Source organism: Homo sapiens, chromosome 10, assembly GCF_000001405.40.
Source record: "Homo sapiens chromosome 10, GRCh38.p14 Primary Assembly".
In the NCBI taxonomy this organism is placed as follows: domain Eukaryota; kingdom Metazoa; phylum Chordata; class Mammalia; order Primates; family Hominidae; genus Homo; species Homo sapiens.
Window position 1 is genome coordinate 113071242 of NC_000010.11, and position 15171 is coordinate 113086412.

The 15171-nt window shown below is 44.8% G+C and overlaps 1 protein-coding gene across 15 annotated transcripts in view, besides 3 other annotated features; it reads left to right on the plus strand.

Annotated features, from left to right (window-relative positions):
• TCF7L2 (transcription factor 7 like 2) overlaps positions 1–15171 on the plus strand; it is a 217432-nt gene that overhangs the window by 120995 nt on the left and 81266 nt on the right. The window lies entirely within an intron of this gene.
• Positions 2929–3698: an enhancer, noted in NCBI's record as "H3K27ac-H3K4me1 hESC enhancer chr10:114833929-114834698 (GRCh37/hg19 assembly coordinates)". NCBI's record gives its function as "activates a minimal SCP1, AML or CMV promoter by ChIP-STARR-seq in primed H9 embryonic stem cells {active_cell/tissue: H9 hESC(primed)}" and the evidence as "EXISTENCE:reporter gene assay evidence [ECO:0000049][PMID:30033119]".
• Positions 5009–5602: an enhancer, noted in NCBI's record as "NANOG-H3K4me1 hESC enhancer chr10:114836009-114836602 (GRCh37/hg19 assembly coordinates)". NCBI's record gives its function as "activates a minimal SCP1, AML or CMV promoter by ChIP-STARR-seq in primed H9 embryonic stem cells {active_cell/tissue: H9 hESC(primed)}" and the evidence as "EXISTENCE:reporter gene assay evidence [ECO:0000049][PMID:30033119]".
• Positions 7433–7934: an enhancer, noted in NCBI's record as "H3K4me1 hESC enhancer chr10:114838433-114838934 (GRCh37/hg19 assembly coordinates)". NCBI's record gives its function as "activates a minimal SCP1, AML or CMV promoter by ChIP-STARR-seq in naive H9 embryonic stem cells {active_cell/tissue: H9 hESC(naive)}" and the evidence as "EXISTENCE:reporter gene assay evidence [ECO:0000049][PMID:30033119]".

Genomic DNA, 15171 nt, shown 5'->3' on the forward strand with positions numbered 1-15171 from the left:
TCTATTTAGTGGTAGAATGTTTGCTGGGTTAGCCCAGGACTTCAGATGGAGTGCTTCCTCCTTTTTAATACCTTGTGACTGCTGTGTTGGCAAGCAGAGGGTTAAATGCTGCAGGAGGACATGGGAGAGTTTTTGCTTTGAGGGTCCACTGGAGCAAGAGAAGCTTGAGAGTCTGTCTCTGAGATCCCAGAACAGACATGAAGATATGGTACCGATTCCCTTGGTGCTAAAAGGAACTCCAGGGGAATTTCAGGAAACCCCTCCTTTTCTCGTCTTTATTCTCACCCCGTCCCCCCGCCACCTCTCTCCCCAAGTTCACACTCAGGAGGGAGGAATCTTTTACCTTTTCCGTTCTGGGCAGCAGCTGTAGGGAATGTTATCAGTGTTGGGACTGGGCACGGGACCAAGCCTTCCTGGTGCCTGGACTGCAACCAAGCTGAGAGCTGACATGGCAGGGCGAGTTGTGTGTGAGTTGGCTGCCCCTAGGCTCATAGGCCTAGCACAATAGAGACCCTGTCAATGGAGGGACACTATCAGGCAGGTCACTATCAATGTGACAGACACTATCAGGCAGGTCACATTGGTGCAGATCCTTGGAGGACTCCCCCCCACCCCCCATGAGTGGATTCCTCCAGGTCAGGGGCTGGCTGGGACTGTGGATGCTGGAGTAAGTGGAATTGTGGGTGCACTCTGCTTCAGCAGTACTCTCCAAGGAGAATGATTGTTTTAATAAATTACTGTTTTAATAAGGGAGGTGGAAGAGCTTTTTAATCACTTGCTTTTTAAAAATTTTTAATTTTATTTTAATTAATTAATTAGTTTATTTATTTTTTGAGACGGAGTCTTGCTCTGTCGCCCAGGCTGGAGTGCAGTGGCACGATCTCGGCTCACTGCACCTCTGCCTCCTGGATTCACACCATTCTCCTGCCTCAGCCTCCAGAGTAGCTGGGACTACAGGCACCCGCCACCACGCCCGACTAATTTTTTGTATTTTTAGCAGAGACGGGGTTTCACCGTGTTAGCCAGGATGGTGTAGATCTCCTGACCTTGTGATCCTCCCGCCTCAGCCTTCCAAAGGGAGGGATTACTGGCGTGAGTCACCGCGCCTGGCCTTTATTTTTTATTTCTTTTGAGATGGAGTTTTGCTCTGTCACCCAGGCTGGAGTACGGTGGTGGGATCTCGCCTCACTGCAACTTGCGCCTCCCGGGTTCAAGCGATTCTCCAGCCTCAGCCTCCTGAGTAGCTGGGATTACAGGCGTGTGCCACCGCCTCCAGCTAATTTTTGTATTTTTAGTAGAGACCGGGCTTCACCATGTTGGCCAGGCTGGTCTCGAACTCCTGACCTCAGGTGAGCGTCCTGCCTTGGCCTCCCAAAGTGCTGGGATTACAGGCGTGAGCCACTACACCCAGCCAATCAGTTGCTTTTAAACTACTTAAATAAAAAGAGCCAACCCAAAATCTTGTGCATGCTTGGGAAACTGGCAGTGGAATATGAGAAGTTTTTATTTGTGGTGCACACAGGTGACTCGGGCTGTTGTGTATTGGTTCTTGCCTCGATCTGTAGCAAGCAATCTGTTGTTTCTTGCCTGCCTTTTGGGAAGAAATGAAAAAAGAAGCAGCACGAGTCTCCATACATCATGATTGTGATGGCACTGGGCCTGAGACCTTTTCTGCTGTCCAGGTAAAAATGTGAAGACCATGGTTTTGAGGTTTCTTAATAAATTCAGGTGTTAAGTGCCAAGTGATGCTCCCAGCCCCTGAGCTAGAGCAACTATGCTGTTCATGTCCCCAGGAATGGAAGTGGACCCTAGTTAGGTGCTGGTGGCCAGCCATGTGTACCTAGGGCAGGGCCAGGTCGTGTGTGTGTGTGTGTGTGTGTGTGTGTGTGAGAGAGAGAGAGAGAGAGAGACAGAGAGAGAGATAGAGAGAAACATAAAGGTGATCGGCACTCAGACATCCTGTGTGGTCCACCTCACTTCTCAAGCAGGTGTCTTTCCAGTCTACAACTCGTTGACCACAGGTGGAATTCATAAGCTCTGTTCCCTGTCCTGCTTGGGTCCTCCAGAGAAAGAAATGTTGAATTATCATCTTGGTGATGGTCAACTCTGAAAGCCTAAATTTTCATGATCACCAAAGTGTTTGGATTTAAAAGGGTGGCTCACTCCGTAATTCCGGCACTTTGGGAGGCTGAGGCAGAAGGATCACTTGAGCCCAGAAGTTTCAGACTAGGCTGGGCAACAAAGCAAGACCCGGTCTCTACCAAAAAAAAAAAAAAAAAAAAAAAAAAAAAATCAAAAAAATTAGCTGGGGGTGGTGGTGTGCTCCTATAGCTCCAGCTACTCAGGAGGCTGAGGCGGGAGGATCGCTTGAGCCCAGGGGTTTGCGGCTGCAGTGAGCTGTGATTGCACCACTGCACTCCAGCCTGGGCGACTGTGAGACCCCGTCTTTAAGAAAAAAAAAAAAACAAAGGTCACAAGACATTCTTGGCTCCGCCCTGCAGAGCTGCTTCCCGATCTCCTTTTTTATTTGCTTCCCAACCTGCGGGCCTCAGTGTGACTCACCACACCGGACTGCCTGGCCCTGCTGCCTGCCGCCCATCCTTGCGGCCTGGACGACTCCATGTGCGAGTTGCTGGCGCAGCGTCCAGAAAACAGACCACACCCCAGGAATGATGATACGTTATAGCATTTCTCTGCTCTGTAAGAGAGGCACCAGGGTCGTGTGCTGGGTCTGGGGTTTGTCCATTCCACATCCGGTGCTGCTGTTGACTCTGGTGTCGGCCGCTGGTGAGCTGGCTGTAGCTGGTCACCTCTGGGTGGTTTCTGGGGCGGTCGCAGGCTGACTAACACACCAAAGGTCAGCCAGGGTGTTGAAGCTGGCACCTTTCTTCCTGGAGCACAGACGTCATCTTGGATCTTTTAGATACTTGGACTTACTTTATGCAGAACATTCTGGATTTGTGAATTAGATGGACTCTTTATTATTTTGTATTTGGATTATTTCTTTAAAGAGATCAGAGATAAAAATATCATTGTTTTGCCAGTTTGCTACCACCAGCCCACACCCCTCTTCCCGTTGTCCAAAAAGGGGGTGGTTAGAGTTTTCTTGAGTGACTGGGCTATTATGATTAGCAGATTACTAAAGCTGTGTGATTTTAACAAGACGTAAACACATATGGGAACCCCTCCTTCCATATCTTGCTAATGTCAATTAGCAACATATTAATCTTGCTAATGTCAATCCTGTCACTTCATACATTTATAAATATTAGGGACATTTAAAAGAGTTGTCGGACTGTGCGGGACCTTGGCACACTGCTGACGGCTGCACACTCATCACTGCGGGGCTCATCACACATTGACACCAGCACCATATTTTGCTGGGTTTCCTGATCTCGGTTGAGTATTTGGATTTGAATGGGATGGTTTTAATGTTGCTACTGACTACTACAGTGATCCAAATAAACTTTAAAGCTGGGGCCTCCACGCCATAGGCAGATTTTCATACCAGTTGCCTTTACCTCAGTAGTTTTCAGCTGGGGCAATTTTGTTCCCCAGGAGACATCTGGATACAGTGTTGGTTGTAACAGCTGGGCAGGGGGTACTTCTGTCATCATCTCATGGGCACAGGGCAGGGATGCTGCTAGGGCAACCCCTCACCCTCCCAAAGAATTATCAAAAACATCAACAGTGCCAAAGCTGAGAAGCTCAGCTTTAATGTGTTCATTGAGCAACTAAAGAATAGACTCAGATATAGGAAAGTATTTATTTATTTATTTATTTAGAGACAGGGTCTGGCTCTGTTGTCCAGATCATAACTCACTGTAACCTTGATCTCCTGGGCTGAAGCAATCTTCTCACCTTAGTCTCCCAAAGCATGCTGGGATTACAGGTATAAGCCACAGTGCCCAGCCTGAAAAGAATACTTTAAATGGGCGGGGTAATGGTGGCTTATGCCTGTAATCCCAGCACTTTGGGAGGCAGAGGCGGGCAGATCACCTGAGGTCAGGAGTTCGAGACCAGCCTGGCCAACATGGTGAAACCCTATCTCTACTAAAAATACAAAAATTAGCCGGGAGTGGTGATGGGCACCTGTAATCCGAGCTCTCCTGGAGGCTGAGGCAGGAGAATCGCTTGAACCTGGGAGGTGGAGTTTACAGTGAGCTGAGATCGTGCCATTGCACTCCAGCCTGGGCGACAAGAGCGAAACTCTGTGTCCAAAAAAAAAAGAAAAAAGAAAAAAAGAGTATCTTTAAATGAATGGCAACCCAATTTGCAAATGTATTTTTTTTAATGTTGCCAATTACTTTATGTGTTTAAAAAATATCTTTCTGGTTTACTAGGGTATTCTTCAAAAAAAGAGAAAAGATTAAAGCTGCACAGACATGATGATGTAAAAGCTAGTAGCTTCTCAAGCTGTGAAAGGTCTGTGGTGCAGAGAATAGCTCCCTGTGAGCTGAATTTTGTTTGCTGTGGTGCAGCATGGGTTTAGATCCTACCTGGTTAGTGAAAGAGATAATGTGAAGTCATTGCATTTGCATTTGTCAAAATCCTAGTTTTCCACTTACCTAATAGTTTTTTGTTTGTTTGTTTGTTTCATTTTGTTTTTAAAGACAGGATCTTACAGCCGGGGCCTGTAATCCTAGCACTCTGGGAGGCTGAGGCGAGTTGATCACCTGAGGTCAGGAGTTCGAGACACACCTGGCCAACATGGTGAAACCCTGTCTCTACTAAAAATACAAAAATTAGCCAGGCGTGGTGGCACGTGCCTGTAATCCCAGCTACTGGGGAGGCTGAGGCAGGAGAATCACTTAAACCCAGGAGGCGAAGGTTGTAGTGAGCCGAAATCACGCCACTGCACTCCAGCGTAGGCAACAGAGCAAGACTCCATCTCAAAAAAAAAAAAAAAAAAAAAAGACAGGATCTTGCTCTGTCACCCAGGCTGGGATATACTGACTTGATCATAGCTCACTGCAACCTTTAGCTCCTGGACTCAAGCAATCCTCCAGCATCAGCCTCCTGAGCAGCTGGGACTATAGGTGTGAATTACCATGCCTGGCTAACTTTTTTATTTTTTGTAGAGACAGGGTCTTACCCTATTGCCTAGGCTGGTTTCGAACTCCTGGCCTCAAGTGATCCTTTTGCCTTTGCCTCCCAAAGTGCTGGGATTACATGCGTGAAACACCACACCTGAACTAGTCTTTTTGTTGTTGTTGTTAAAGTGAGAGACCCAGACCAAAATCATCTTTCTTCTCCCAAAATGCTAATTATTATTTGTTTTAAGTTATAGCTCCAGATTACCTTGTAGGATTATTCACATTTTCTTTCTAAATGCTGTTCTTGAAAGGAACCATCTATTGACAGTACATCAGAAATTCTATGGTTCCTTTATGACATTTCTGGGGAAGTAAATGAAAGGTGTAAATTAAGAAAAGCAAGTGTTTGCGGTTCCCACTTTAACCTTGTGTTATGTTAAGTGGCTTTGTTGAAGAGGGCTGTCACTGTTCTTGAAAACTTGGGAAAATCCATAGCAAGCTGTGCCATTAGTTGCCTTTGGGAGCACAGGATGTTTGATGTGAAAATTATATGGACACATCTAATTGGGTGTATTTTCACCCCACCAGATATCAAGTAAAGAGGTGACTCTTCCCCCTCCCCTGCATTTTTAGCTAAATTGTTTAACCTGAATTTCATGCTATTAAGAATTACATTTCAGTAATCCACCTGCCATTTTTCAATGCCTTTTGTTTAGTAGCATGTCTGTATGATCCACCTACAGAACATTTCTAGACATCTGGCAAGAGCTAGTTATCATCCCTTCCTGATTTGGGGTGCTAAGACCTGTGGTCCCCTTCTTCCACCGTAATTTACATTCTTCCCTGAGTCCTGCAGGAACTCAGCCAGGCAGTGGAAAGAAAACAGAAGCTCTGTGGACCTCTGCTTACTGTAAAATGGGAATAATAATTCTTATCCTGCCTGTTTCCCAGAGTTGTATATTCTTTTCCAATAAAATGTACTCAAAATTAAAATACAAAGCAGTTACACAGAGATAAGATAGTGGTAATTATGCCAATTTAAACTCCAGAATTAAAAAATAAGTTTAGTCACATACCATGCAGTTCACCCATTTAAAGTATATAATTCAGTGGTTTTTTGTATATTTGCAGAACTATGCAACCAATATCGCCATTGTAGAACATTTTCCTCACCCCCTAAAAGAAACTGTACCCATTAGCTCTCACTCCCCATTTCCCCCACTCTGCCTTCTCCCCCATGCCCAAGGCAACTGTCAATCTACTTTCTGTTTCTATGGATTTGCCTGTTCTGGCATTAGATATATACATGAAGTCATAAAATTTGTGGTCCTTTGTGACTGCTTCTTTCGCTTAACTTAAATGTTTTCAAGGTTCGTCCATGTTGCTGCATGTATCAGGACATAATTTCTTTCTTTTCTTTTCTTCTTTTTTTTTTTTTTTTGAGATAGAGTCTTGCTGTGTCGCCCAGGCTGGAGTGCAGTGGCATATCTCGGCTCACTGCAACCTCTGCCTCCCAGGTTCAGGCGATTCACCTGCCTTGGCCTCCTGTGTAGCAGGCCCATGCCACCACGCCTGGCTTGCTTATTTATTTATTTATTTATTTATTTATTTATTTATTTATTTATTTATTGTATTTTTAGTAGAGATGGGGTTTCACCATGTTGGCTAGGCTGGTGTAGAACTCCTGACCTCAAGTGATCTGCCCTCCTTGGCCTCCCAAAGTGCTGGGATTACAGGCATGAGCCACTGTGCCTGGCCAGGACTTTATTCCTTTTATGGCTGAATAATATTTCATTATATGGATATCCCATATTTTGTTGACCCATTCATCAGTTGATGGCAAGCTTCAGAATTAAAAAAAAAAATTAAGCTAGTTCATATTTGCTTTAATTTTCCAAATGATCCCTTTCCTTTTATTGCAAGTTAAGTGTTCCTATGGTAATGACTGTTATGGGGCAAAGATGATCAAGTCTATGAGCGGTCCACACAGTTCAACAAATATGTACCTCAGCACACTACCTGGAACCAGACATTGGGTAAAGATAACTTTAGAATTCATGGTCCCCCTGAGACACTAAAGACTTTTTAATGAATGCAATTAGTAACTTTCTACTTACTGTTACTCTTTTTATTTTATTTTTTGAGCAGGATCTCACTGTGTTGCCCAGGCTGAAGTGCAATGGCCCAATCACAGCTCACTGCGGCCTTGACCTCCTGGGATCAAGTGATGGCTGAGACTACAGTCATGTGCCACCACATCCAGCTCTTTAAAAAATTTTTTTTGCAGAGATGGGGTCTCACTATAGGCTGGTCTTGAATTCCTGGCCTCAAGGGATCTTCCTCCCTCAGCCTCTCAAAGTGCTGGGATTACAGGCATGAGCCACCACACACACCCAGTTTGTTGCTCTTTCTGTAGGTTGGCTAAGGATTAAGATGTTATCTCCGGTGGCTGAAACATGCCTCTGATAGGTGCTATCTCCCTTGTCTTCATTTTCACGCTGGTGGTAATCCTGGAAGCCGCAGGGATCAGTCAGATGGCAACAGCAGATTCTTTTTTTGTTTTTTTTTTTTCTGAGATGGAATTTTGCTCTGTCACCCAGGCTGGAGTGCAGTGGTGTGATTTCATCTCACTGCAACCTCCGCCTCCTGGGTTCAAGTGATTCTCCTGCCTCAGCCTCCCGAGTAGCTGGGATTACAGGTGCCTGCCACAATGCCTGGCTAATTTTTGTATTTTTAATAGAGACGGGGGTTTCACCATGTTGGCCAGGCTGGTCTCAAACTCCTGACCTTAAGTGATCCACCCATCCTGGCCTCCCAAAGTGCTGGGATTACAGGCGTGAGCCAGTGCGCTGGGCCAGCCACAGCAGATTCTGACAGGTGATGCCCTTGCCAGCCTGGGGAGCCTTTTGGTTTTGGGTTTGGTTTTTAAATTTGTTACTGTTTTGGTGGTTGTTTTTACCTGTTGTAAATATTAAGAAGCCTAGGCATGATGATGCTCTGAAGACAGGAAAATTTGTTTTGTCCCGATTTGCCACACGGACTCCTGCCTGCATCTGCGTTGATGTGGCCACACGGAGAGCTGCTCTGCTCAGGAGATCCAGCCCGGGCCAGCAGCTTTATAATCAGTTCTGATCGCCACCCTGCAGGGCTGTTTTTGGCATTTTAATGTCCCTTAAGTACTTTCAGAAGAAAGTTTTCAAGGAAAACCTGAATTTTTTCTTTATTGGCTGCACATGTTAGACATATGAAGATGTGTTTCACTTTACAAAGTGGGGGGAACCCTCAACAATCTTTAAGAGATCCCTAAAAACTGAGGGTTGTTTCAGAACCATCTAAATCCAAGAACGTTGGACCTGTTATACTTATTCTGGCAGATGGACCCATCCCTTTTTTTTTCTGAGACAGAGTCTCGCTCCATCGCCCAGGCTGGAGTGCAATGGTGTAATCTCGGCTCACTGCAACCTCTGCCTCTCGGGTACAAGCGATTTTCGTGCCTCAGTTACCCAAGTAGCTGGGATTACAGGTGTGTGCCACCATGCCCGGCTAATTTTTGTATTTTTAGTAGAGATGGAGTTTCACCATGTTGGCCAGGCTGGTCTTGAAATCCTGACCTCAGGTGAACCACCCCCCTCCGCCTCCCAAAGTGCTGGGATTACAAGTGTGAGCACTGTGCCTGATCGCCATCCTTTTATTGGTGAGAAGAAAAGGGAGCAAGATGAGGTTGACCCCTGCATCTTATGTGTGTACTGTCTCTGCCTCTGTACACACACACATGCACCACAGACACACCACACACACACAGCCCACATACACAGCCCACATACATGCACACACAATTTAGGGTTTTCCCCCTTCTCACAAAAATCCTCTTTAACGTGATTTTTACTAATAAAGTTATAAATGTCTGGGGTTAGAAGACAGCCAAAGTTTTGGGTGGCGCAAGAGATAATTCATCCCAGACTCCACACCCCTTATGCCATGAAAACTTCACCTCTCCGTTTCAAGCTGAGAAACCCCACATACACTGCAGATACATTACAAGGCAGCTACCACATCACCAAAGGCCAAGCAGAAGGCATTGTGGATGCCCTGGGTATATACTCTCTGACACAGAGGTGACTGCCTAAGCAGTCAGATTTGCGACAGTGTGATCCTTTTTGGAATTCATATACTGGGGCAAGTATTGGAACCAAGGTTGCCAGCGAATGGGGCTGGCAAGTCTTTTTTCAAGTTTCCTTGTGTGTTCCCATTCTGAACAAGGTGGTGTCAAGTTGATCCTGCCTGTGGGAATGCATTGTTCTTGAATATTTATATCTTTGTATGCTCCCATTGGGATTTCTCCTTTCATAATATCTGAAAAGAACTTGTTTTCATTAAAGCCATTTCAATTTCGTACATTTTTATGCAATAATTTAGTGTTTATGGTGTCTCTTAACCAACATGGCTTGTTTTCATAAGCACCCGAGAAGGTTTAAATAACATTTTCTCATAAATTAGCCCTCGTTTGCACACTTATTCAGTTATTGCATCATGAAGACCCTCTGGAGTTTGATGTTGTCAGGAAACATATTAGCAGAAAATAGTGTGTTATTATCTAATGCTGATAATTGGTTAGTGGAAATGAGAAAAGAGGATATGTAATTGGGGTTCCTGTGGCTAACAAGATGTGAATTATGAAAGCATTTCCAGGAGAAATTCCAGGGGTGTTCCAGGAACCTGTTATTTACATTTTAAAACATTTGATTCCCATTGAAAGGGGAGGAGGGCGCTGTTTACCAACACTGCTTTCTTTTTCAGAGCAAATCCATCTAAATTTCCTGAGTGGTAGCTAGATCTCCTAATACACCTAGCCCCTATGTTGTTTTGACTTTGCAGTCCCATTTTAGGCTGCTAACGTTCTTTTTGTAAGAGATATGTTGGCTTTTAAAGAGAGGATTACCTAGTACACATCACAAGTCCTGATCAGACCCTCTTCTCCCTCTTGGCCCCGTGATTCTGCCCAGTAATGTTTACAGCACACAACACGCACCAATACTACTTCCCAAAGGCTGCTTGGGAGAAGGAGCGTACCTTTAGCAAGAATCTCAGTATAAGCACAGTATAATGCTTTCTTCATTAGCTAGATTCACAAAGCTTTCTGCAGCCTGTGCTGCTTGAACCCGAGCTTCTGCTTAATGTTCTTCCATAGCCAGTCATTGCTGAGTAAGGTGGATGGGCTTCTGTGTTATGCTTAAACAAGTGAAATCAACTCCTGTTCTCTCAAAGTCATTGATGAGCATGGTTTTTCATGCTTGCTCGCTATTGACTTGTCTGGAAAGATTATACTGTTAAGGACAGAGACTCTGTCAGTTGCATATGGAAATAATGGATATAAAGATTGCAAGGAGAGTTCATTTTCCACCTGCTTGAGGTCACATTGAACCTCATCCCTGTTGCGGAAAACAAATGGGAGTGATAGCTGGTGCCAGTTAGTGTATGGATGTCCTCGAAATTAGATGTGCCTTCAAAAAGACTTGATTTAATGTTAGCCAGGTCTGTTTGAACTTCATTATTACTATTATTATTTTGAGATGGAGTGTCGCTCTGTTGCCCAGGCTGCGCCCAGGCTGGAGTGCAGTGGCATGATCTCGGCTCACTGCAACCTCTGCCTCCCAGGTTCAAGCAATTCTCCTGCCTCAGCCTCCTGAGTATGTGGGATTACAGGTGCCTGCCACCACGTCTGGCTAATTTTTGTATTTTTAGTAGACACAGGGTTTCACCATGTTGGCCAGGCTGGTCTCGAACTCTTGACCTCAAGTGGTCTGCCTGCCTTGACCTCCCAAAGTGCTGGGATTATAGGTGTGAGCCACTACCATTTTTTTTTTTTTTTTGCGTGCCTTGGTTAATATCTCAAGTTCAGATAATGTTAAGGTTAACCACTTCATCTTATTACCTTTCATCCCAGTAAAGCCTTGACCTTCACATATAAAACTAATTTAGTGTCAATACAGTTAAAAAGTGTCTCCTTTATTCAGAATTACCCATATAATGTCTTTTTTTAATAACTTTATTCCAAACTTGAAAAAAATTATCTTTACCCATTTTTCCCTGTACTGTTTATGATACAACAATTAAAAAAATCTTATTTCCAATTTCTCAATATTTGATAGGTACACTTTCCCCCCCACAGGAAAAAAGAAACAGTTGACAAAACTTTGTTTTAACCAGCAAACACCTTTTGAAATGGTGCTGCAAATTCCTATTCATGATGCCATATTTCTAAAACACTTTTTCTTGGTCATGTTGAACTTTTATTCAGTAAAAGAAATCTTCATTCTGCTTGTGTGTGTGTGTGTGTGTGTGCACGTGCACACGCACATGCATGTGGCCTTTTCTCCTTGAATGTGACTTATTTTAATAAATTTACCCTCTTATTATATAATGGCCATGTCCAGAAATCGGGGTGCATCGCTTCTGTACGTAGAGAGTCAAGGTCCTAACAAACCCGCCCCTCTGTGTTCTGCTAGCCATACAGAAGTGGAGTGTGTTGGAGGTGGACACAACCCTTAGAAGTCATCCAGCAGCCAGCATCCTCATATGCTGTGTCAAGCTGAGCCCCAGAAATTCAGAGAGTACAGCTAGTCAGTGGGAGGGTGGCAGTGGCAGTGACACTGAGGCCCCATGCTCTGTCTGTGCGAGGTTAAGGAGGGGTGAGCAGTGCTTTGTAAAGGTATGTGAAAAAGTGGTCTCTTTCTATGCTCATTCTGTTTTGCCTTCTGTTTGGAGCCTTGTCTTTTTCTCAGGTGAGGTCTTTGAGGGCTGAGGTAGACTTCATTTCTGCATGCCTTGAGTGCAGAGATGGTGATTACATTCCAACTCGTGCCAACTTTGAGCAGAGTGGCTGTGTGCTATGGAGGTAGTAAGGGAAGAGGGAGGTGCCATGTGTGACCTGGACACTTGCCATTCGTGACTCTAGGACACTGCCCTCCACATATACTGATAGACACACACACACACACACACACACACACACACACGTGCAAGTGTGGGCCCATACTCACACCTTGCCACTCACACCTTGCCACTCACACATGCTCACATTAAAAAAAAATAATAATGAGAAAAAAGGATTGCATACATCTGCCATGTGAGTGATGATATCCCGGTCTGGGGAGGAACTGGGCTTGTCTTTACGATAAAAATGGTAGCTTATCTGGAGCCCTGATGGCAGTTTCTTTGCCTTTGCAGTAAGTTGACAGTGTATTTCAGATGTAATTAGTTCCCATCAAAGTTACCTCATCTTCAGAGGTGAGAATTATCGATGGTGCATAAAGCTGGATCAGTGTGACCTGTAAAGACCTTACCTGTCTCCAAGGTTACGCGTGTGTACGTGGGGTTGGCTGGTTTGGATGGTTGCTCTTTGTTTTTTGGCATCCTTGTGTGTGAATACATGATAAGAAATATGAGGATGTTACCTTCTCACCAATTTTTAAAAATTGTCAGTTCAGTACTTTGCTTTTTTAGTGGAATGGCCCTTAGCAATATCCTTCTTTTAAATGGATTTCTTATTGTTCCAAAGATGTGGCATTTCCAAAAGAAAATTCTTCCATTTATGCATAGAACCTTGAACTCTAGTCTTTAAAAATCTAGGCTTTAGTTTCAGCTCTTTTTTAGCTGTGTGGTCCTGGACAGGCCCTTTTACATCTAGACTTGGAGATTTAAAGAAAATCATAAAGAATTAAATGAGATGATTTCTAAGACTCATTTCATTTTAAAACTCTGATCTTTCAGAGACGCACAAATCCATTCCCTCTTGCTGTGGAGGAGAAAATACATGAAAATCTGAATCCATATGCATTTGTCAGGGTTCTCCAGAGACATAAAACCAATAGGATGTATGTGTTTATATAGAGAGATTTGTAATAAGGAACTGGCTCACCCAGTCATGGAATTCCATAATCTGCATCATCAAGTGTCATGGTCTGTAGCTGGGAAGCTGGAGACCCAGGAGAGTCCATGGTGCAGCTCTAGTCTGAGTCTAAAGGCTGGAGGACTGGTAGAACTGATGGTGTAATTCCTTTTCAAAGGCCGGTGGGCTGGAGCCCAGAGATGCTGCTTTAGCTCAAGCCCGAAGGCAGTTACTCAGGAGGATGCCGGCTGGTTTGGAGGAAGATCAGCCTTGTATTCTGTTCAGGCCTTCAGCTGATGGGCTGAGGCCTGCTCACATCAAGGAGGACCATCCGCCTTACTCAGTGAATGTTAAACTTATCTAAAAATATCCTCAGAGAAACATCCAGAATAGTGTATAACCAAATATCCGGGCACCTTGTGACTTAGTCAAACTGACACATAAGGCCAGGCATGGTGGCTCACACCTGTAGTAATCCCAGCACTTTGGGAGGCCGAGGTGGGCGGATCACTTGAGACCAGGAGTTGGATACCAGCCTGGCCAACATGGTGAAACCCGGTCTCTACCAAAAAAAATACAAACATTAGCCGGGAGTGGTGTTGTGCACCTGTATTCCCAGCTACTCGGGAGGCTGTCACAAGAATCGCTTGAACCCGGGAGGCGGAGGTTGCAGTGAGCTGAGATTGCACCCCTGCACTCCAGCCTGGGTGACAAAGTGAGACTCTGTCTCAAGCCACCCCCCCCCAAAAAAAAAAAACAAAAAACCCTGACACATAAAATTAATCACCACCAGAGTTTTCTGAGGCAAAGAGGAGTAAAGCTGTTGCCTTTTTCTTCTTGCCTGTGAGGTTGGTTGAGATTCTTCTAACAGCCAACAGGTGTTGGCCAATGTTACTCTGATTGACACCTTTCTTTTTTTTTATTCAGGTTTCCCTCTGTCACCCAGGCTGGAGTGCGGGGGCACAATCATGGCTCACTGCAGCCTTGATCTTCCAGGCTTAACCAAACCTTTCACCTTGGCCTTCTGAGTAGCTACAGGCCTGCACCACCACATCTGGCTATTTTTTTTTTTTTTTTAATTTTTAGTAGAGACGAGGTCTTGCTATGTTGCCCAGTCTAGTCTTGAACTCTTGAGCTCAAGCAGTCCTCCAGCCTTGGCCTCTGACAGTGCTGGGATTATAGGTGTAAGCCACCACACCCAGCCCTGAGTGACATTATTTCATACAAAATTCTCATCTCTGGAGGCCTTTGTATTTTTAGGGGTTTTGTTTTTCAAATGCTTTTTACCTCTTTCTATACTTGTTCATTTTTAAATGTTTCCTGGCAGAGCAATTAGTATTTTCTGGCTTACTAGGTGCTATTCGATTGCATTAGCGTTTGAATATTACCCAGCTAGTTGTGGAGTGGGGCAGTAAGCTCATAAAGAAGCAAGATAATGGAATACACAAATATTACTACGACTTTATGGGTGGCATACCTTGATTCTTGATCCACGTGGCTGTGTTCAGATCTGGTTAGCACACATTGACATCAGGGGCTGAGCCACCAGTGAGAGTCAAACCCAGCAGCCCTGTCAGTCTACCTTCTCTCTTGACTTGATCCAGCCTCATAACTTCACTTTCCGCAGGAGAAACACACCTCTTGAGGTCCTCTGTCACAAATAGGCAGTGTTTCTGGAGAAAGCCAGGAGGCAGATTTTAGTGCTGTTCAGCATCTGTGGTCTCTACTTTCTGGATCTGGTGCATTATGGAGACCATGAAATGACATGAAATAGCTCAGTGCTGCCAGTGGCGGTGACAGGGACACTAGAGGTGAAGGAGGGCCCTTGGGGCAATTCCAGCAGGTGGGTGGTGGCTGAAGGTCCTTGTCTTCTTTCTGCAGAGACTGGCCACCTGCTTCATTCTTTCAAGAAGCACCAAATCCCTACTTCAGTACTTTGCCCACTCGTCATGTCAGGAGCATGAAACTCACGAGGCCTTCATTTACTTTTATCCTGTAACACCTTCAATTTTTCCCACATCCTCCCTTGATTCGTGGATGGACAACTATGGAGGCCAATCTGGCTGAGGTGAGGACTGCTTGAGTCTAAATTCCTCTCTCCTCAAACCCAATTCAAACTGGCCTGAGCAAAATGAATGTATTGATCCATAACTGAAAAGTCCAGAATGATCAGGCATCAGGCATGGTTGCATCCAGGGGCCCATGTATTAGAACCATCTCCTTCCAGTTCTGGGCTCTGCTTGCCTC